At 32.9% G+C, this 23,951-nt stretch overlaps 1 protein-coding gene across 59 annotated transcripts in view; it reads right to left on the bottom strand.

The window, feature by feature from the left end:
- The window catches only part of CSNK1G3 (casein kinase 1 gamma 3), a 104,873-nt gene that overhangs the window by 21,663 nt on the left and 59,259 nt on the right, over positions 1–23,951 (bottom strand). For 18 of the 59 annotated variants that reach the window (XM_047416768.1, NM_001364141.2, XM_047416764.1 and 15 more), the window contains 6 exons: positions 21,846–21,994; positions 19,424–19,658; positions 7,234–7,319; positions 6,876–6,960; positions 4,829–4,974; positions 3,973–4,068 (listed from right to left, as the gene is read on the bottom strand). In XM_047416768.1, the coding sequence (XP_047272724.1) occupies positions 3,973–4,068; positions 4,829–4,974; positions 6,876–6,960; positions 7,234–7,319; positions 19,424–19,658; positions 21,846–21,994 (797 nt within the window). Of the gene's footprint in view, positions 1–252; positions 349–3,972; positions 4,069–4,828; positions 4,978–6,875; positions 6,961–7,233; positions 7,320–19,423; positions 19,659–21,845; positions 21,995–23,951 lie in introns of all 59 variants that reach the window. The other 41 variants (XM_047416765.1, XM_047416755.1, XM_047416763.1 and 38 more) reach the window with 5 other exon arrangements.

The following is a 23,951-nucleotide window of genomic DNA, read 5'->3' as shown; positions in this document are numbered from 1 at the left end:
GCTATATGACTTAAATATTGTAGCATATAGTTGCAAAAATGAACAAAGGAAAAATCTTGGTATTCCTGATGGTCTTTCTAGACCACGTTAATTTTGGTTTTTCTGGTTAAATAACAAAGGAATAGAATTATGGATAGAGTAGTTCAGCAACAAATTTTCCATTAAGATATGAAATCATGCCATGAGTTCCAAAAAAAAGGGTTAGTTGTATAAATCTGGGTAATAATCACTCATGCAAAAATCAGAAAATACCTGTACCGAGCCACCATGTCTGTCTGCTGCAAGGTGAGCTCTCAAATGGTGGGGATTTGCCTGCTGGGAGTCCCAAGCTGCCCTGTGGTCTGCCGACTGCCATTTATTTAATGCATATGGCATGCATGGAAGAAGAAAAACCCAATATGTTAAACATTTTATCCTCATAATATATAAAACAAACGTATAAAAGGAAATTTAAAATACCCTTACTATTCTGAATCATGGTGCAGTTATCTTTGTATACAGAATGTGGAGTGATTTTAATTAAGTTGCCAAATTGTGTAATGATCAACAATAAAAATAAAATAGAACCATAAAATTTTAGAAGTAAAAATACTTTAGAAATCACAGACTCTACCCTCTAGCTTTATAAATGAACTAATAAAGAACCAGAAAGGTAAAAATGCCATGACCAAGAAAGAACTCCAAATAAATCCTGGGCACACTAGAAGTCCACCCACTATATTTTTACACAGTAGATGTCATCACTGGTTTTCTGATGAGGAGCTATTTTTAGCAAGGTACAAATGATGGCCCTTAAATAACTGTACCTGAGATTCTAAAAATATTTTCTCTCTTGCTTAGTCCCCCATTTCTGATTCTAAGGATAATATGAGAAAACAGAAAAGTTCTTTGAAAAGGGAGAAGCACTATACAGAATACTATGAGAATATGACAAAACAATTTTTTTTCTAAGTGATAATCCTACATATATGAATCTCTCTGCTTCCTTGATCTCCTTTTATCTGGTTCAAATTAAGGAACCCATGTCTATGAAATAATCTGAAAATTCTTGATGTTTTTAGATCCCTTGGCAAATATGCATGGCAATAACAAACATCATAATCTACCAGTAAAATTAAGAGAAGTTTCTTAATAGGGGACAACTTCTGTTTCAGGAAAATGTGGACAACACTAATAAAAAGTAGGGAGAAGAATATACTATTTAAACTTTATTACATGTTTGGTTCTGAATTAGCTGCTTTATATATTACCATATTTTGAGGTAGATATTATCATCCACTTTTACTGATGAAGACAGTGAGACATTAACCACTTCCCCACAGTTACAGACCTACCAAGGAGTACAACAGGAATTCCAACTCAGAGCATAATGCTCTTCCAATAATACTACCTAGCTCCTTACGAAAATTAAATATATTCTAAAGCCTTCAGTACTCTTTTCTTTCTTTTTCAAACAAAGTCATGAAAATCTTGCCACAAAGTGCCAAGCATATTGGAGTATGGGGAGCCTCAAGCATATTGTTGGCCAGAACAACCTTAAGGGGAGAGATGTAAAATTCAAGTAGACACATGAATACATGTTCTGGCACTAAGCTTCCTAAATTGTACAATGCAAAATTACATACTCTGTGGCATAAAGTATGTCATCAAAACTATGACAGTTCTATAATGTCTTTTCGTTAAACCCTCCAAATCCATAACCAGAATTAAGCAGATTTGTAGCTTAAGTTGAAATCAAATCAGATGAAGTCAAGTCTAGACAAGATCAAAGAATAAAAATGATGCTAAAATTGAGACAAACATCTAGGGCAATGCGCAATATTTTGGGGTCATGGAACTCTCTAAGAATATAGTAAGAGCTACACGCCCTCTCCTGAAAATAAACAATTACATGTACCCAACAATTTCAGGATCCCCTCAACTTAACTCATTTATCTAGGGGCATTACAAAGGTTTAAGTCACGTGACATAATCTATCTTCCTCTGGGATTGTGAACTGTGGGTTTCTTGTAGAACTTAAGCTGCTTAGTGGTCTAGAGATATTTAAGAAGTTTTTTTTAAATATACAACTTTTCTATCATGATGAAAGTGTGTATATTCACATCCCAAATTCAATATATAAGCCTATCCTAAAGAATTGCCTAAATATTATATATATGTGTGTGTGTGTGTGTGTGTGTGTGTATATATACACACACACCCACCCTACATTTAGTGCAAGGACTGGACAAATGAAACATGGTTCCTACCCTCAGTGAGCTTATACTCTAGTTAGCAAGACATGTCTGAAAGATGTAGAAAACTAAAAGTCTAAAACATTAGATTTATAATTTAATTCAACAATAGAGGAATTTCACTTATTATAATACCTAACAGCTCAAGTGGAGAATTTCAAAGAATACCGTATTAATCTTCTTCCAAGTACATTCAAGGAATTAACTCTGGTTTATAAAACACAAACTAAGTCTCAACTTCTGAGCCATTTCTTTCTTTATACAGAATCTTTTCACAGCACTCCAGCTATCAACTAATTTTAATTTATATATGAAGTAATTTATGTATGAGATGCTTTATAGTACCAATTTTTCTAAGTCAAAAATTTAATATTAATCTTTTAAAACTGGCCATGCTATATATATATATATAGCATAATATTGTTAAACACTCCCTAAAATGTAGCATTTTATTTTGCTATGATTTTTAACAAGTGGTGTTCTTTCTTTTGATTGTCATCCTGTTTTAATCTTTAATCTTCACTTAAACTTTGATGGGATAAACAATATAAAAGTCAAAAAGGACGGCATACTATCCTTCTCCAAAATGGATTGTAAGAGAAAATTTCTAGACACTCCTTAACTCAGTGTGATAGTGAAATTTTTAAGTCAAAGATGTCTTCGATAAAACTTTTTTACCAAAAAAAAGAGAAAGAGAGAGAGAAAAATTAAAACATTGCCCAAAAATTTCAACAGCTTTCTATTCCTTTACCTGGCCAGGAAACATGAACTCGCTACTTGATCAACTTCTATGCCTTATCTCAGACTGACTCTCTACTCCCTCTCTAATCCATCTCTACCTACCTCCTGCTCCAAACAAATTTGAACCGCTTGCTATTCCTCAAATTCTCTATTTTTAAACTTCTGCTTCATATTTTATATTATTCACTCTCCCCAAAATGCCCTTATCTTCATTTCCCTTTAAAAACTCCATTCATTCTTTAGGTTCATGTCAAAAGCTACCTTTTCCATAAAATCTTCATAGAGCCCCACATATGATCTCCATGCTACTTTATTAGTGTTTCATGTAATATAGCTTATTCTCTTTTTAAATATAGCTATTTCTGTATTTATTGTAATAATAATAACAGTAACAGCAGACACAAGAGTTTTGATTCAAAGCTTACTGTATGCTCTAAATTAACATGCATTATTTCCATTTTATAGATGAGGAAACTGAGGCTTTGACAGATTAACTTATTTGCCCAGGGTCAAGCCATATCCATGTATGCCTGATTCTAAAGAATTGAGTGAACTCTTAGCTACAACACTGCTTTTAGACACTGGTGACAAAATCATTCTTAAAGGTTATACAGTCTTCTTTACTTCTGAATTTCTATAATGTGTAGAACAGTAGCTTTACAATAGCAGAAATTCAATAAATAATTTATTGAACTAAACTACAGTTAGAAAGTCCAAGTGTTATTACAATTCATTCTAATAGGGTATCCAAATACTTCCATTCTAACAGAATATCACATATTCCTAAAAGTTTACACTAATTTGTACCATTAATTAAGGATTTATGATTAAACATTTTAATGCTATTATTAAACTAATAAACAGTGAAATTAAGAGAAAATAGATTATCTATTAAAAATATGTATTTTCAATCCTTCAGTCTGTTTTATCTATTGAAGAAAAAAGTGTATGTTTCAATCATGAAAGGAAGGTATTTCATATCTAAAGGGCAGCAAACCTGGTTTTTGGATTGTTGCATCTTATCTCTGTGTTGATGTGCTTCTCTGTTTGATGACAGAGCAGGATCTTGCTGAACTGCACCCACTGGAGTAGGCTACAATACAATAACAATTGGTATCAATACATTCCATTTTAAAATTCTTATTTAAAATCATTTAGCTGCTTAAAAGAATTAAGGAAAAAAACAAAAGACTGTTAAATAAACTAAGGCTTTAAGTAAAGGCATCATTATCAAAATATGTTGTTAAAGCTAAGAAGGTAAAGCAAAAAGAATATACCTACTTTTTAAAGTGTTTTTAAAATATTCAAATTCTTTATAAAGTACTTATTTTTACATCTACAGAACACTTAATGCTGCCATTACTTTTAGGCTACATTTTCATATCAACATGATAAAAATGTATATGTTTATGCCTCTCATTTCCAAAGCAAATGTATACATAGAATAAACTTTTAAGAAAATTAAAAGAATAAAAAAACTAATAAAATTACTTATTTCCAATATTTTGACTTGAAGAGACTCATACAAATTTTAATTTTCATCAAGGGATTGAAGTATTAAATTAATCATGAGAATATTACACAAAAAAGAGTATATTTGACATTAAGAACTAAATCAGGATGAAAAGTTAAAAGTAACTCTTCATGCTAAAAGGCAAAGAATCCAGATGTAGGGCTTCTGAAAAACTCAAAGAACACTAGTACGGCACTACCTGCAGAAATGTCCCTTAAAAAACAATAAAATGAATCCTTTAAAACAACTATTTGTTCTCAACTCTTTTCAATTGAAGATATTGTACTATTAAAAAGGCAACAGATACTGTAAGTAATATATTATTATATAGAATACTCACCAACTGTTTACCAATCCAGTCATATTCATAATCAAACATATATCCTTTTCGATCAAACAAGTCAGTAAAAAGCTTTCTTAAGTAGTCATAGTCTGGTTTTTCAAAAAAATCTAGCCTTCTTACATAACGAAGATATGTTGCCATTTCTTCTAGAAATAATATAAAAATTATTTGGACTATACTTTTCTTTAATACTCAGTAATAAAATTAAGTATCTAAAAGCACATTGTATTATATAAAAACACTTGAAAAGTAACAAAATTACATTGCAATTTAAATTTTTCTGAGTTTAATTACAACAAAATAAAAAAGAGGAAAAGAAGGAAGGGAATAGAGACACAAGAAAAATGGGAGGTTTAGTTTAACAACCACTATTTTTGCTTCATTTCATTAGGAAAAGCTAAAATTTTCATTTTTATAAGATTATTTTTAATATTTGGTAGTATGAGAAGTTGAATAAGCAGTTTAATAATGCATGATTAATCACAAAGCATCATATTCAGTTTATAAATTTAAAATTTTATTTAAAATACCGGTGAGAACTGATTTATATGAAAGCATCTGTATTGGCTTGCTGGATTTCCTTTAGAATCAGTGACATAAACCAACTAACTAATAGAGAATTCAAATTCCTAACCTTGGCTTTGAGCAGTATTCTAACCAATTAAGCTAACAAAGGAAAGCTAAAACAAATCTCAAAAACATAACACAAGAGGACAGTGTAAGTCTTCTCTTAATTTCTGGTCATATATTTAACAATTATTTGGCGATATACAAATCTCTGCATGCTATTATAATTCCAAAATGTATTAGATACATGTATCTAATACATGCAAAAACAAACAAACAGACAAACAAATATATAAATATAAAACAATGGGCAAAATGGTGAGCAATTAGTAAAGCAGGGCATTTCACCATCAGGGCACAGAAAATCACTACAGTAAGAGATGGTAAGTTACACCTAGCATTCACAGGCAGCCCCAGCCAACAGGAAAAAGATCACACCCAGCACAATGAGGCAACAAAAGTGGTGTGCAGTGACCTTCTTTAGGTGGTGACTCTCCCACTATTCCACTTTCTAGCTAAATACCTGGCTAATTTGATTTGGCAACCCCATTTTTCCCACCTTTATATAGGCTTCCTTAATGACAACTACCCTATCTGCCTACACTAAACTGCTAGTACTATTAACCGACATTTTAAAAAATCTACTTCTAGATATTATAGCAAGAAAGGAAAATATATAATTAAAGTTTGCTGTCAATGAATAATATAAACAAGCTTGAGAAAGAGCTACTTTTGTTATGTTGATAATATTATTATTACATTAATAACGCCAGCATTATACAGGAGAACTACGGAATACTAAAGTGAGATAGGAATTCCGTATTTTATCTTCAAATTTAGCTCTCTTTTCACTTAATGTGGCTGCACAAATAAATCACAGTCATTATCTTAATATACTAACAAGTTATTCTTATTCCTTAATTGATGTAGAAATCTTAAGTAAATTTTTTTTGGCTTAATTTGAGTTGCCATAAATCTACTTGAAAGCAAAATTATTTTCATAAATGCATACAGCTCCCCAATATAAAATTAGCCCCAAACTAGTGAGGTCAGTAAGGTTTTACTGGCCTTACTTAATTTAAGTTTAATTTGAAAACTAAACCAAATCATACTTCACATACCTCCTTTGAACTTGACATTGAGACCCAAATGACTAACACTGAATACCAAAACTTTGTAACTGGCATTTCTTAGCAAAAATTTTAACTCATTAAAAGTATATCACTAAAGAAAATATTACTTCAGCTGGTAATGATCAACACTATTAACAGACAGGATTTTCTTCTATTAATACCATTTGCAAAGCAAATACACAAAGTGTCCCTGTGGGTTCGGCATCAAATGCTGACAACCTTTAAATCATATTTTTAGCTCTTTTTTTTTTAAGCATAGAAAAAAATATGTATAAACTTAAGCAATAAAAATTAGCATTTCTAGTTTTCTGTATATAATGTATCAACCTCACATTATTCATTACCTGGAAAATTTTCACATAACACTTCTATTGGTGTAGCCCGTTTTGTATCTCCAATTTTCTGATACCTCTCCTTTAATGTGTCAGCCTAAAACAGAAAAAAAAAATCTTGAGAATGTGGTAATTTAAAAATTATTTAGCTGGGACTGCACACGGTAGCCTGTAATCACAGAGCTTTGGAAGGCCAAGGCAGAAGGAATGCTTGAGCCCAGGAGTTTGAGACCAGCCTGGGCAACACAGGGAGCCCTGATGCCTACTTACAAAATAAAATTTTAAAATATGAAAACTGTTTAGTTGGAAGACAGGACCTTAATATCTTAATATTTTATGAAATTCAATAAAGAAACACAAAAACAATTACCTTTAAGCCTTGCCAAGGAAGACTGCCTCTCAGAAAATACATGAACATATGACCTAAAGCTTCTAAATCGTCTCTTCTACTTTGTTCTGAAATACAAAAGAAATATAAATTTCACTTTTCTCTAACAGTTAAGAATGGAAGAATGGAGAGTTTGTTCTTTCATTATGTATAAATTAATTTCCAAAAGTTCAACATATAAATACAAAATACAGATCTAGTAACTATAAGTGATAAAATTATATCTATATAAATAATGTTTTTACATTAAGATTATTGAGCATCTTTAAAATATTCCATTATAATTTTTAGATGCTGTTAGAGATTTATTTATCTGCTTAGATGTCTATTCATGGAAGTACAGGCCACGGGGAAAAGAGTTCCATGGTCAGAGTCACTGTATACTACAGCTCTGTCTTAAAGATTCAGAAGGTAACGTATTAAAACTTCTGAGAAATCTAGAATTTAAAATGTTTAACTTTTTCAACCCTGCATTTCCTAAAGTTATATGAGCACAAAACTCCCATGATAAATACTCTCCATTAAATTAAACACGATTATGGAGTATTGTGTGTAATATATTTTAAGAAAAACTTGTGTTTGACACATACCAACATTAATAACCCCTTCACTATCACAAAAAATACTACTTGAACAAACTGTCATTTTCAAGTTGTTGTTGTAACAAAATGTCATTTAGCACATAAGTGAATAAAGATTACAGACTAAGGCTCAGGGAGATGCTTATAAATACTTGCTGACTGAATGATATTTCAATTTTTCTGTCACTGAAGTTAAATACTTAAGATTTCTTGATGTTTCAAAATAATACCAAAATGCTAACTACCAATGAGAAAATACTTTAATAAGAGGATGTCTGTTTATGTGCAAGATGTTTTATCCACATGAACAATCATACTATCTAGGCAGTACTTAATGCTTTCAGAAAAGCAAACTTTTCAAAGTATGGCTCTGAACTAGGATGAAGGGTCAGAAAAGGTTTTGATTTTTACTGTGTAAACATTCTATACTTGTTGATATGGTTTGGTTGTGTTCACACCCAAATCTCATCTTGAATTCTCATGCGTTGTGAGAGGGACTCAGTGGGAGGTAATTGAATCATGGGGGCAGGTCTTTCCCATGCTTTTCTCCTGATAGTGAATAAGTCTTATGAGACCTGATGGTTTTATAAGGAGTTTCCCTGCACAAGCTCTCTTTGCCTGCCACCATCCACATGAGATGTGACTTGCTCCTCCTTGCCTTCTGCCGTGACTGTGAGGCCTCCCCAGCCATGTGGAACTGTAAGTCCATTAAACCTCTTTCTTTTGTAAATTGCCCAGTCTCAGGTATAACTTTATCAGCAGCAGCAGCATGAAAACAGACTAATACACTTGTTTTCAATAACACTTGTTATGATTTAAAGATACTATGTTTGTGTTTTTATTTAATCAATATATATGCTTCCACCAGACTGCAAGTTGCAGAAGTATACATCAAAATTGACAGTCATTAAGGCTACAAGATTGGAAGACTAGAGAAGAGATTTCAACTTCCCATTTCGCATGCTAAAAATGTGATATAACGGAGAGGTTTTTTTATTTCTTGTACTTTTTATTATAAAATGTAAGTATATGCTATTAAAAATAGCAAATTTTCCAAAATAAGTAGTGGCCTTAAAGTCCATCTACATCCACTAATGAAAGTGGGGATGAGAATATGAAAAAAACTAGTTATAACTTTTATAACGAAAATTTTACTTCATTAGATTCTCGTAGTCCTGAGGGTATAGTTTGGTAAGTTTTAACAACAAACACACCTGCATAACTACCACCACAATCAAGAGGCATTTCTAATGCTCCAAAATGTCTCTTGCCTATTACTCTCCCCCAACCCCCACAATACCATCAGCCTCAGGCAACCACTTATCTGCCTTCATCACTACAGATTAGACAGGTGCACATGAATGGAATCATACAGTATAGATTCGTGTCCAAATTCTTTCACTTACTATGTTTTCAGGATTTATCCATGTTGTTACGTGCAACCATAGCTCATTACTTTTTAATGCTGAGTAGTATATTACAATGTGTTTATTCATCTGTTGACAGACATTTGAATAGGTTCCAGTTTGGGGCTATTGTGAATAAAGCTGTTATGAACATTCTTCTTGTACTAGTCTATGTTGACATACATTTTCATTTATGTTGGGTTAATATCTAGAAGGGGGATTGCTACATGATGTTGTAAGTATAGGTTTAACTTTATAAAAAACTTCTATATGATTTTCCAAAGGGGTTATGTCATTTCACATTTCTACCAGCAATGTATGGGAGTTTCAGTTGCACCTGTCCAACCTCTGTATGGTCTTTTAAATTTTAGCCATGCTAGTGGCTATGAAGTATAAGCAGTAATAAATCCTTTCAGAAAAGCAAACTTCAAAGTATGGATTAACTGACTTAATTTGTATTTCACTGGTGACTAACACTGAACTTTATTTCATGTGTTTGCCTGTTTAAAAAATTGGATTGTCTTACTAAAAAGTTGTAATAGTTCCTTGTATATTCTGGACACAAGTTATTTTCAGATATGTTTTGCCAATACCTTTTCCCTTCAAGAAAACAGCTTGCTATTTTTTTGTTTTCTTAAGAGTATGTTTAAAAGAAATTTTACATTTTGATGAAGTCCAATTTATCAGGGGTTTTTTCCTCTTATTTTCTATACTTTTTGATGTCCAATCTAGGAAATCTCTACCCACAAGATCACAAAGATTTTATCCTGTTTTTTCTTCTAGAAATTTTATAGTTATGGTTCCTACATTTAAACCTATTACTCATTTTGAAGTAATTTTTTTTTTTGCTTTTGGTGTGGAGTAAGGATTTAGATATATTTTTTTCAATACTAATATCTAGCTACTCTCATATAGTTTCTTGGCAAAACTATCCTTTCCCCTCGAGTTGCTTTTGCACCATTCTCAAAAATCAATCGGCCATCTATGTATAAGTCTATTTCAGACTCTGTATTCTGACCAACTTATCTGTATCTGCCTTCATATCAATACCACCCAAAATAAACAGAAGGACAAAATAATGACAAATGAGGAAATCAATGACCAATGGACAATCAGTAATGAAAACCAATGAAAACAAAAGCTGGATTGGAAAGTTCAATAAAATCATTAATCCTCTCAGCAGGCTAAAAGAAAGAAACACAAATTACCAATAACAGAAGAAACAGAAGAGGCATCAGAACAGATCCCACAGATATTAAAAGAATGATAAAAGAATACTACGAAACAACTTACATGTAAATTAAACAACTTACATGAAATGGACAAATATCTTGAAAGCTACTAATAACTAAAACTGCCTCAAGAAGAAAATGTGAATAGCTCTGCATCAATTAAAGAAATTAAATTTATTATTTAAAAACTTCCCAAAATACAATCCAGATAGCATCGCTACTGAATCCTATTAAACAGTTAAAGAATAATACCAATTCTACATAAACCCAGGATTGGAAGAGTTCCCAACTCACTGCATTACCCTGTTACCAACAACAGATAAAGACATTACAATTAAAGGAAACTATAAGAAATATTCCTCATAAACACAAACATGAAATCCTTAAAAAGATAATACCTCATGACTAAGTAAGGTTCATTCTAGGAATGTAGGTTTGGTTTAACTTTTAAAAATCAATCAATGTAATTCGCCAAATTAATAGAATAAAATATAAATCATATTGTCATCTCAGATACAGAAAAAGTACTTGACAAAATCCAACACGTATTAATGATTTTTAAAAAAATCTCAGCAAACTAGGAATTACAAGCCAACTTCATCCTGACAACAACTACGAAAAATGTCAACTAACATAATTCTTAAATGATAAAAGACACTCCTAAGATCAAGAACGAACAAAGATGTCCACTCTTACCCTTTCTATTCAGTATTGTACTGGAAGTTCTTGCCAGTACAAAGAAGCAAAGAAACAAAATTAACAGATATTCAGATTGGAAATGAAGAAATAAAACTATTGCTCTTTGCAGACAACAGGATTGTATATGTAGAAAAATCCAAATAACCTACAAAAGGTCTATTACAACTAGTAGGTAAGTTTTAGCAAGGTTACAAGATATAAGGTTAATACATAAAAATCAACTGGGGCCAGGCTCGGTGGCTCACACCTGTAATCTCAGCACTTTTGGGAGGTCGAGCCAGGTGGATAGCCTGAGACCAGGAGTTCAAGACTAGCTTGGGCAACATAGAGAAACCCTAACTTTACAAAAAAAAATTTTTTTTAATTAGCTGGTGGCTGGGTGTGTTGGCATGCACCTGTAGTCCCAGTTACTAGGGAGGCTGAGGTGGGAGGATTCCTTGAGCCTAGGAGGATGACAATGCAGGGAGCCATGGTTGCACCACTGCATTCCAGCCTGGGTGACAGAGCAAGACCCTGTCTCTACAAAATAAAAATAAAAATCAACTGGATTTCTGGGCCGGGCGCGGTGGCTCACGCCTGTAATCCCAGCACTTTGGGAGGCTGAGGCGGGCTGATCACCTGAGGTTGGGAGTTCGAGAGCAGCCTGACCAACATGCAGAAACCCTGTCTCTACTAAAAATACAAAAAAAATTAGCTGGGCATGGTGGCACATGCCTGTAATCTCAGCTACTCGGGAGGCTGAGGCAGGAGAATCGCTTGAATCTGGGAGGCGGAGGTTGTGGTGAGCCAAGATCGCGCCATTGCACTCCAGCCTGCGCAACAAGAGCGAAACTCAGTCTCAAAAAAAAAAAAAAAAAACTGGATTTCTATACTCACAACGAACAAGTGAAAATTGAATTTTAAAACCAATACCTTTACAACAGCATTAAAAAACAGGAAATATGTAAGGATACATTTATCAATGTATATGCAAGACCTATATATAATATGCATATAGTTTAAAAAACTTAAAATACTATACATGTAAAAGTATGCTGAGCCCTACAGTAAGACGCTCTGTTATGGAGAGGAACTCAATATAAAAGGCACTTCCTCTTTGAATTCTATCCAAGGGGAAGCTTTAGTCACATAGTGCCAATAAGCCACGGTCATAAGGTGATCTCGCCTACATGGTTCTATCAGAGAACAGTATTAGTCTCATAACCCACAAAGCATTTCAAAATTCAAGCCATAAATATTAGCTAGTAAAACAAATCTATTACTGAAACTCAGTCTGAAATGCTCTTTACCCTCATAATTTCTTTTTTTGTGTTCTTTCACCAACTGACATATCTGGAAATAAATTTTACCATGTAGTAAGTTACAGAAATCACAGGAAGGCTTTCTCTTTGAAACACAGTAACTAAAGAACACCCCCTAGGGTCTTTAACAGTTCTTTTACATGAAAAAAGTCTCCCAACAGTAATCTGGCCCCTATTAAAGCCTGTTCACATTTTTTAAAGCACTTAACTACAAAGGCCTGTTTGAAAGCGAATGTTTTTCCACAAGGCCAAGAATCATTATAAGAACTCTTGCTATGAGCACCTAAGGAAACCAGAAAGTGATTATTTTTCTTTAAAATAGGTATCATTAAAGATTATTTTAAATAGGTCTTGAAACCAATTAAAAAGGTACATAGTCCATTAAAATTTTCCTCTTCAGGAATATATGTACCATAAAAAATAATCAACACGTATTAAGAGTCTGTGTCCATGTTTCATATATACTATCTTTCAAAATTACAGCTACACTGAAAACAGTTATTTGTAATCCCAAATAAGGAAAGTAAAGCTCAGAAAGATTAAGTGACTACTTCAAAACTAGGTACCTAATAAGTGGAGGGCAAGATTTCAGCCCACTTGTCTGCATTTTTTTCATTTTGGAAAGCATTTCATCACTTAATCAATGTTGATTGGAAACCTTCTGCAATGCTTTTCTATTTAAAAATTCTACTCTTATATCTCAACATTATTTATTTTTCTTTAAATCAGATTTCATTCCTCACTTGCCTAACACTGTTTCCATTTCAATTGAAATTTCAATTCAATTTTCAACAAAAAAAATTCCCTTTTTCGTTAACTCAAATTTATCGATGCCTCACACAGAAGCAGGAAGTTTTCTATGATACATGCATATATTTGCAAAAATAAACTTACTACTGCATTTTCTACCATAATGAAAAACAATGAGGCCAAAAGACATGTTGGCTAAGCAAAGCACAGACATGAGAAGACAAAGCCAAGACAGCTCAAACAACAAAAATTCTCCCTGAATAAAGTTTAAATCATTTCTTATAAGTAAAAAAAAGATAAAAATTATCTACTACAAGGAAGAAAAGGTTCACTATATTTCCTTCTTAAATATTAAAAGTTACTTTAGTTGGCACTACCCTAAAAAAAACAAAAATACCTCTTCCTCAAGATTCATTGAGCTCAGTTTTCAAAATTATATAACAAGGATTTTTTTTTTAAAAAAAGAGAAAACAAACCTAAAAAGGAAAAGAACAAAACACAATTATGCAAGACAATACACAGGAACAGTTCACTAATCTAAACACCTAATCTAGTAATATAAACAAAACTTAGAAAAAGTTTTCTGTGCAACTGAACCCAGTACATGCATTCACTTAATTCCTAAAGTTCTCTTGAAATCTAGTTCTCTTAATTTAGACATAATTCTTGTAAGTTTGGTGACAAGGTCAAAAGAAGTAAATCAAAGGTAGAGAAAAGCAAAGTGTTGCCAGCAGTAGCTATACTACACACACTATCAAAAAGTAAGGGACAACACAGGTGAAGGCCAAAAAAAAAAAAAAAAAAAACAAACCCAAAAAACAAAAAGAGAATCTATTACAAAGTATAAATAAAATTGTCTCCAAATTTATTTAGATAAAGATATCCATCCTAACCTTCTCCAACTGATCTTGAGAATATTGCTATATAATAGTAATCATATAAAAAAAACTATACCCTGAAACATCAAGAAAATACCAATTATGTTCATTATACTCTAACAAAAAATTATATAATACATTTTAAACTGTTAAAATATAATTATAAAATGTAAATACATGTTTTTAAACTGCAAAAAAGCTGTGTGAGCAGCTTAAAGAGCAGGCCTCAGAAACTGGAACAATTAACCTAGAAATTAAATTATATGAATCACACCACAGAATGATAGCACAGAAAGAAGGCATTTTTGGAACACCATAATTCTGTGGTTCCTTCTCTCCTATTCAGAGAACTTACCACTTAGAAGCTTGAAACATCATTCTTCTATTAACACTTACAAAGCAACTCCCAACTTATCCCTCAAATCCTAGTTTTTTTATTCTTGAATAATCAATAAAAATTTAAAAATAAAAGATCTGATTTTTATTTCAAGGCTATTCACCAAAGAGAAATAGACATTATTTACTTAATATCAAATGACTTCAACAAGAGAAGACATAAAAGGGAAAAATAGTCATCCAAAGGAAGATTATGAGGTTCAGGGCAGCTAACAAAAGTCTTTAAAAAGATATTAAAAAGCAGACACTTGATCAGATGTGACACAAAAGTAACAATTCAATATGTCAACACTAAAGAAAGTTTTCATGCAAGGACACATGGAAATCCACATCTGTAACATAAAGCTTTATCAAGATTGCATCTTGGACAGAGACTTAAGCAGCTATAAGAAAGGTATAAATGTGAACTGCAACATCTGCCTTCTGAACATAAATAACCTAGTTAAGATCAACAGATACTACAAGAATAAAATGTTAATTCTTATTATGTGATTTTACACTATTCTTCTATATTATTATATTAGGAACATCTTTTTCCTTTTTAAGTCTAAGATAGTGTCAGTCTCCAAAAAGGAAAAATACTTACAAACCCATATAATGTTCCTTTGACCAAACTCTCTATTTTGAAAAGTTCATGTGAGCAAGAAGTCCTTGAGTGCCTAAGAATGAATGAATGGATGGAAAGATGGGTGAATGAATAAGGCTTTAAAAGTAATCACCAAGATCCAGGCAAAGCAGGGAGGGCAGAAATAAGATACGCACAAATTAAAATCACATTAAAAGGTCATGTTTTCTCTGCTCCTTTTCCTTCTTTATCTCTTCCTGACTCCTCACAAAACCAAGTACTCTAAACTTAAAACACCGCTATGTATTCCATATCCAAAGGCATCGCAATTTGCCAAATGCTTTAATTCCTCAGCATCCAAACTCATATTACCTTACTCTTAACTTTTTAAATAGGAATTCATGTAATCTTAGAAACAAAATTTTTTATCTGTTAATATTACCCACCTACTCCTGAGTTTTACATGAAAACTGAGAAGCAGAGTGTTTATAAATGGGGAAAAGTAAACATTAAGCATTCGTTGTTTGCTATACCTGCCAAATAAATACATTTTTATTTTATTCCTGAAAGAGGAGTAAAGAGAGATTATTATAATAGTTCAATCTCACTTCCTAGGTACTGATGACTTTTCCTAACAATGACAAACATATCACACTCACTTCGCCATTTCTACAAATAGAATGCTGTTACATTTACCATTGTTCAGATAAGGAACATTAGGCCCTAAGGAAGTTGTGACTTCATGTCTCACAATAAAATAGTGGTGAACCTTTGTTAGTTGTTATAAAATAGTCTGTTAACAACTCCCGTAAAATGAAAATTTCTCACAGACTCTGAACATGTAAATAAATATAGGTGTGCCTGGTTTTAATTGAAGTCACAACCCCAAAAGTTGTATAGCTACCCAATCATATTTTTAAGTCTACCAGGAAAGTCAGCTATTGAAAGCTACTCCCTGAACATATTAACTGAATAAAACTTGTGTTTCATAATTTTAAATATTTGAAACTTACTTTTCTTAAAAAAAAAAAAAAAACAGCAAATTTACATTTTTCAGGCATTTCAGATGTCTGAAAAGAAAAAAATACCATAAGCCTACCGTCAGGTCAGCTGTTAGGAAAGATGCCACATCCTACTGAGTTATGATTGAGAGGCAGAGCAGGGACATGCTCTATAGAGTAGCTAAAGCTGGGGAGAATGTTTAGAGGAAAAGCTAAGATCAGGATTTGAAAGTTGGATTAGACGACCTCCAAGATTCTGTCCAAATCTGTGATTGTATATTTGAAGGTACTTTTGAGCAGCAGTGATGGATATATACTGATTGGTTCACATTTCTGTCTATCTGTTGTAAGATGTCTAATAGTATCTGAAAGCAGAATAATATCTAAAAGCAGATAATTAAGTTTGTACTTTCTCTGATATGAATACTGAATGTGGCAAATGTAATCTAGAATTGACTTTTTAAGAAACACACTAAGGTAATTCAATAAGAAAGAATACGATATCATAGAAAGAACCTCAACCCCTATCTCACACCATATAAAAAATCAATTCTGATGGAGCACAGATATAAAAGGCTAAAACTATAAAGCTTCTAGAAGAAAGCATAAAATGTAATGAAGGTAAAGATTTGTTTACCTTATTACATGAAGGTAAAGATTTGTTAGAATTCAAAAGGCAATAACCATAAACAAAAAAACTGATAAACTAGACTTCAAAAATATTTAACAGTTCTGCTCATCAAAAGATACCATTAAGAAAATGAATAGGCAAGCAAAGACTGAAAGAAATTACTCATAATGCATATATATGACAAAATAATTATACCCAGAATATATAAAGAACTCTGTAAATTAACAATGAAATGACACACACTTTTCAAAAGAAGATATACAAATAGCCAATAAATACATGAAACAGATCTCAGAAACAATAATCACAAGGAATTAAAAGACTACCCCTTGGCCACTAGAATAGCTACAATGAAAAAGACTGACAACTCTAAATGTTGTCAAGATTATGAAACAAACAAAATTCTCATTCATTACTGATGGAAATAAAAAAAGGTATGAACACTCCTGAGAACAGACAGGCAGTTTCTTATAAAGTTAAATAATACCTGCCATAGGACCAAACTGAAAAATATGCCCACAAAAAGATTTGTAAGAATATTATACAAGTTTTATTCATAAGTCAAAAACTTAATCCAAATATCCATCAACATTCAAATGGATAAGCAGTTTGTGATATGTTTATGCAATGGAATATTACTTAGCATTAAAAAAGAATAAACTACTGATACTTGCAACAACATAAATGAATCTTAAAGACATTATACCCACCAAAAGAAGTTGGATGGTTCTATTTATATTAAGTAATAGAATCAGCAAAACTCATCTGTTGTGATAGAAATCAGATCAGTGATTGCTTCTAGAAAAGGAGGGGAATGACTAAGATGGGTAAAATGGAAGTCTATAGGATAATGATAGTGTTCTAAATCTTGATAGTGTGTGGGTTACATAGTATGCACATTCATCAATACTCACAAATTATATAATCAAATGTTGTATATTTTACCCAATGTAAATTTTACTTCAATAAAAAAAAAACTCTTCAATAAAATAAGAATTACAAATGTTATAATTCTATTAGACTTGCTATATAAAGTGGTATCATTTGGCAATCTGAAACTACTTTCTGAGTATCCTCAGCTTTTAAAAACAAGTAAATATATTGTAAGTAGTGATAGCCAGATTTCTCACTGTTAAAAAAAAAGATACAAATATGGAAAAGGGATGGAATTACAAATATAGAAAAGGGAAATACTATTTTGTACTGACAGACTGAAATTAAAAGTGTATCAGTATAAACTCAAAATTTTTAACAGATATTAACGTATGTCTCTGTGTGTGTGTATACATACGTATATATGTAGGCATATTTCTATGTGTGTATGTATATACATATATGCACAAACATTTCCTAGTTCTGCTGCAGAAAGGGCCTGGCAGTAACAACATACCACAGTAATGAGCATATCCAGTGGCCAAATCTTGGTTTCTAAATACCATTATCCAATAAAAGGATTCAGAACTTCTTGGAGAAAAGGACTGATTATGGGGCTGCAGAAGAGAAACTACAAGATGAGTTTGTTTATAAGAACTTGCTGCACCAAAAGAAAGAAAGTACTCAAAGATTCATGAGAACATGTCAAAAGGACAGAGAAGCCAGCTTGAAGGAGCAACGGGTGGCCAAATCTGGAACCCTTTGGCTATCAGAATAAATAATGATAATGCATTCAATACATTACATTAAATAAGATAAGAATTAATAAGTTCATATAGACATAAGTCAATAACTGGGGGAGAAGGTAAAGCTTCTGCTGACATTAGAATATCAACTGACAAATAAGGAAATGTAAATATTAGAAATAATGGAGTTAGAAAATCATCAATGGATGCTAAATCTAGAGGGCAAAAATCTGATGAGGAACAACATGTTTACATAATCCCAAAATCTAACTACAAGAAACTTTTCAGTAGAGAAATTTGGCAGATATCGTCCAAGCAAGTGATCCCAACATGATGCACTAAGAACACATCACTTCTGTGATATTTGTGCTCAAAATGCCTACCCAAATCTAGTCAAAAAGAAATAACAGACCCAAATTGGAGATATCCTATAAAATAGCCTGTGCTCCTAAAAAATATTAAGGTCATGAGCCATAACGAACGACTGAGGAACTGTTCCAGATGAAAATGATTTAAGGGATATGATAAATATGAATCTGGGTGAAGGAAGAATGCTATAAAAAATCCTGTGAAGTTGATATTGTTTTACTCTTTTTACCAATAAGAAACCCCTTAAAAAGGTTAAACTTGTCCGAAGTCATAGTTAGCATACAGGTAAGCCAGCTCTGCCCACCTCTAAGGTATATGCTGTTAGCATTATACTTATTAGGCTAGTTGCTATTTCTGTGGCTAGCCATATTGGAGAGCTATGGTCTCAATCCAAAATTTCCACATGTACTGAATTCAGTTAAAATTTGGTATTCTCTCATATTTTGTAAGAGAAATGATTAAATGCATCCCCATAACTGTATCAAAGTTGAACACTTCAAGTTATATAAATACAAAAAATACAGTGAATGTAAAGATAGCTGTCACTCATTTACTCTATAGTAACTTACTTTCAAAGAGTTTTATTAAAATATAAGTGAAAGTAAACTCTAGGTAGATGTGATAAATGAAAATTATAATAAAAGCTATTATAATCTGCAAAAACTGAACCATAACAAATAAAAACTCACAGTGTTAGCACAGCTGCTAAGTTCAAACTTCCATACTTACGAAAGGTACACATACCTTTTCCTAAATGTGTGTTTATGCTCATATATCTAGCTGTTCCTGTAAGGCTCTTGTGTTCTCTGTATGGTATGTGTTTCTTTGTCTCCGGATCAATATATTCCTTTGCCAAACCAAAATCTATAATGTGAATAACTTGCTGGGTTTTGTTTCCTGGTCGTCCTATTAAGAAGTTCTCAGGTTTTACATCTCTGTATATCAAGTTCTTTGAATGGACATATTCCATGCGAGAAATCTTGGTTTAAGAAAAAAAGAAGAGAAGTTTTATTTTGGGCTTTGACTAGCCTAAGCAAGTATGATAAAGGCAAGACAGAATGAAAACATACAAAAGAAATAAATCAGAAATTGTTTCAACCCTTTAAAAGTAAAATGATGTCAGCCTATCATTCTTCACATAGCAAATTGCAATTTAAAATCTTTGCCTTTACTGTTATGGTCACTGCTAAACGAGAGTATTTGAATTTTATGAATTCCTTTCATATCAGCAAGCCTGATTCAATGAACACTTTCAGAGGATGCTACTTCATAAAATCAAAAAGCCACATTGATATAAGACCTTGAACCCAAAAGTATAAGCAGACATATGCAAAACATTGCAATATAATCTTCCTTATCAGTTCAATAACCAAGCAACTTTTACAAGTATATTAAAGAAACTTAAGAGTCTAAACTATTAAGTAAAAACAACAGCACTATTCAGTATCTTTTTCTTTTTCATAACATGTTTCCTTTACTTTTTCCTAGGTATTAAACATTTAAAAATGATTAATCTTGAAGCTAGAAAGATCATAAAGCTAGAAAAGTCTGAAATCCAACTCTAATATTAATAATATAGCTCATTTTTGTTAATTATTTTACAGATTCTCAATGTTCATTGTACAAACTGTCATAAAATAGAGTATTACAAATAAGAAAATAAAACTGCTTCATTTAGTGATAATCATGGTTAACAATGCAATGTAAACATATGGCTACACAGGCCATTCTAGTTTGTTTAACAAACTTTGCAGCATATAATGTACAATATTCTATGTCTATATATTCTTAATTAATGATATGAGCATTTGCAAAGTCATGAAATATTCTTTGTTTTGTTTGGGGGCAGTTGGTTGGTTTTTTGATGTTTTGTGTGTGGGGGCAGGGACAGGGTCTCACTCTGCCACCCAGGATGGAACGCATAGCTCATTGCAGCTTCAACCTTTAACCTCCGGGCTCAAGCAATCCTCTTGCCTCAACCTCCTCAGCAGTTGGGACTACACAAGCACACCACCACACCTGGCTTATTTTTTTTTTTATTTTTATTTTTGTAGAGACAGAGTCACACTATGTTGCCCAGATTGATCTTGAACTCCTGGGCTCAAGTGATCCTCTAGCCTCAGACTCCCCAAAGTGCTGGGATTACAGGCACAAGCCACCACACCTAGCCTATAAAACAATCTTTAATATGCACTTTTTAACAGCTGCATATTTTCCTCTGGATATTAATTTATTCAACTAACCCTGTTATTTCTGCATATTTGGGTTGCTTCTCCTTTTTTTATTATAAACATCCTTTCATATAAAGCTTTAAGTACCTATGAAAACATCCATAGGATAAATTTGTAGAATTAATGAGTCAATGAATAAAAACAATTTTAAGACTTCTGCAGCACACTTCTATTGGCATTTATTTCGAAACTGCCTTAAAATCACTCTCTAATTGTTATCCAACGGATTCCCTGAAGTCTAAGTAGTTTATCAAGACTCTCTCATTAGTCTGCCTCTTGTTTTTCCAGGTCATAAAGTCTATTACCAAAATTAAGAATCCATGTTTCTGGCCCGGCACGGTGGCTCACGCCTGTAATCCCAGAACTTTGGAAGGCCAAGGCGGGCGGATCACAAGGTCAGGAGATCGAGACCATCCTGACTAACATGGTGAAACCCTGTCTCTACAAAAAATACAAAAAATTGGTCGGGCGTAGTGGCATGCACCTGTTGTCCCAGCTACTCGGGAGGCTGAGGCAGGAGAATTGCTTGAACCCGGGAGGCAGAGGTTGCAGTGAGCCAAGATCTCGCCACCGCTCTCCGCCCTGGACAACAAAGCAAGACTCCGTCTCAAAAAAAAAAAAAAAAATCTATGTTTCTGAGGGTTCTCTTTTGAAGTAATCATCTTTTATATGAAGAAATGGCTAGCAACAACTTAATTTGCAAACTGAGCATTTTGATCTTAAAGCAATTATTAGTTTTTATACAAATAAAATATACTTGACTCAGTTATTTTAAGTTACATGGATCCCAGAAAGACAACATGAAAAGTAGAAACATTTGTATTACGTCAAACGCTCTGTAAGACAATATCACAGAACTTTAAACTTTTAATATGAATTTGTGACCAACAACCATGTAATTGTTCAAACAACTTCAAATACCTTATTTTACTTACCAGTTGTATAGCTATCATGAGAACTGTTTTAAGAGAAAATGTTCTGTCACACAAGTCAAACAAGTCTTCCAAACTAGGTCCCAGCAGTTCCAGCACCATAGCATTGTATTTACCACAAGGGCCGAAATAGTAAACTTGAGGTATACCATCTGGGGGAAAAGAAATACTCATTTAATAATTTCATCATCTTAAATACTAAGGTTTTCCTCTTAAAAACTGATATTTAAAATTTTATAGTTTCAAGAACTAAAGCAGTACTATCACTTTTTCCAGATACATACTTTTCCTGACCAAACCTCCCAACCTCCCAATACCTTCTCTTTGATGTTCACATTGTAGCCTGGATACACCTCTATTGCAGCTGCATGACTGAATTACATTATAAACAGTACTTCATTGTTTCTCTCTACCACCTTATTACTGGACAAAAGCTGGGCTTTTTAGCTTTATATTTCCATGGCCTGGAGAAAGGCTTAGCACATAGGAGAGATTCCAGTTCTACTGAAAAGAGAGTCACTACTGGCTTTAATAACCATGTGATAGGCATACTGCTAAGATCACCACTGTCAAGATTCCCATCCTCTGGCTTATACACCTTGTATAAACCCCTCCCTTTGAACGTGAGCATGATTCCTGGGATCTCACTATTGTGACCAGGCTAACTTATACGGCAAATGTAATTAAGGCTCCTATCAGTTGACTGTAAGTTGATCAGAAGGAAGAGAATCCTGGTGGACCTGACCTATTCAGGTGAGACTTTAAAAAGATAGTCTAGAAGTCAGAGATATTGGAAACAGCAGAGAAACTCTCCTGCTGGCCTTAAAGTAGCAAACCACCATGCAGTGGAGGGAGCCACATGCCAGATAGGAATCCTTGAGGAAGTAAGGGCCACACAGTTCTATTGCCATGAGGAATTGAATTCTGACAAGAATCAGTGAACTTGGAAGAGAGCACTGAGGCTCATGTAAGATTGCAGTCCAGGCTTACACCTTAATTTCCACATGGTAAGACTCTAAACAGAAGACCCAGCAAAGCCATGCCCGTATTCCTGACCCATAGAAATTGTGAGATAATAAAGTCTTTCATCTTAAGCCAGTAAGAGATAGTAATAATTCATTATGAAGCTATATAGAATAATACAAACTCCAAATATGAAGTCTGAATAATACAAACTCCAAATATGAAGTCATCTGTATTTTATTTTCAGAACTAACAGACTCCCAATAAACTGAAATGTAAGTGATCAATTTACTTTATATGGAAGTTGTCAGAATCAAAACAGAGTCACTTGTATTAAAACCCTGACAAACAGAGCTAGGGAAGGAGATGAAGGGAGGGTTCTCACACATATATATATATATGCCTGATAAGAAGAACTACCACAAAAGACTGCAAAAACCACAACCTGGAACAAAAGCCACCACAACTTTACAAAAAATTACTCTGTGAGGACATCTGCCCAGGAACTGCCTGTCCAACTTCAGACTGAGGCCATTCTTGTTAATGATCCTTGTAGCCAAGGGTAACTCTCTCAAAACAACTTATGTGACCCTCCTCATTTTTCCTTTAAAAACTCTTGTCTTCCTTTACCTCCCTGAATATACTCACATATATTCCCATTGTAATGCCCACTCGTAAATAACTATCATTTTCTTTTAGACAAGTCTCCCTATTATTTAGTTTGACACTTAACACTGCATTTATCTATTAGCATGAAAAAATGAACTTCTTCCACCACAAATGTCTCAGTTTTACTTCCAAGTGATTTTTTTTCAGTATATTGAAAGAGAAAACAAATCTAATGAAAACTTCTCATTCTTTTTAATAAAACGTTTTTTAAATATAACATTATTATTATTTACCCTATTATTTTGAATATAAATCATTGCAGGACAGAATAGAAAACACTGAACTAAAAACCAAGAAAACTACATTCTTAGTCTAACCTAATATTCATCAGCTGTGTGGCTAGCTTGTCATTCAACCTCTCAAGTGGGCCTCAGTTTACTTATCTATTATAATATTAGTGATTTGGATGAGACAAGTATTTCTCAGATATGAATATGAGTGAGGCAGCAGAACATCTGCAGGTGGGAATGTAAGCTA

This window comes from Homo sapiens, chromosome 5, assembly GCF_000001405.40.
Source record: "Homo sapiens chromosome 5, GRCh38.p14 Primary Assembly".
NCBI classification, from domain to species: Eukaryota; Metazoa; Chordata; class Mammalia; order Primates; family Hominidae; genus Homo; species Homo sapiens.
This window is presented reverse-complemented; position numbering and strand designations above follow the sequence as displayed.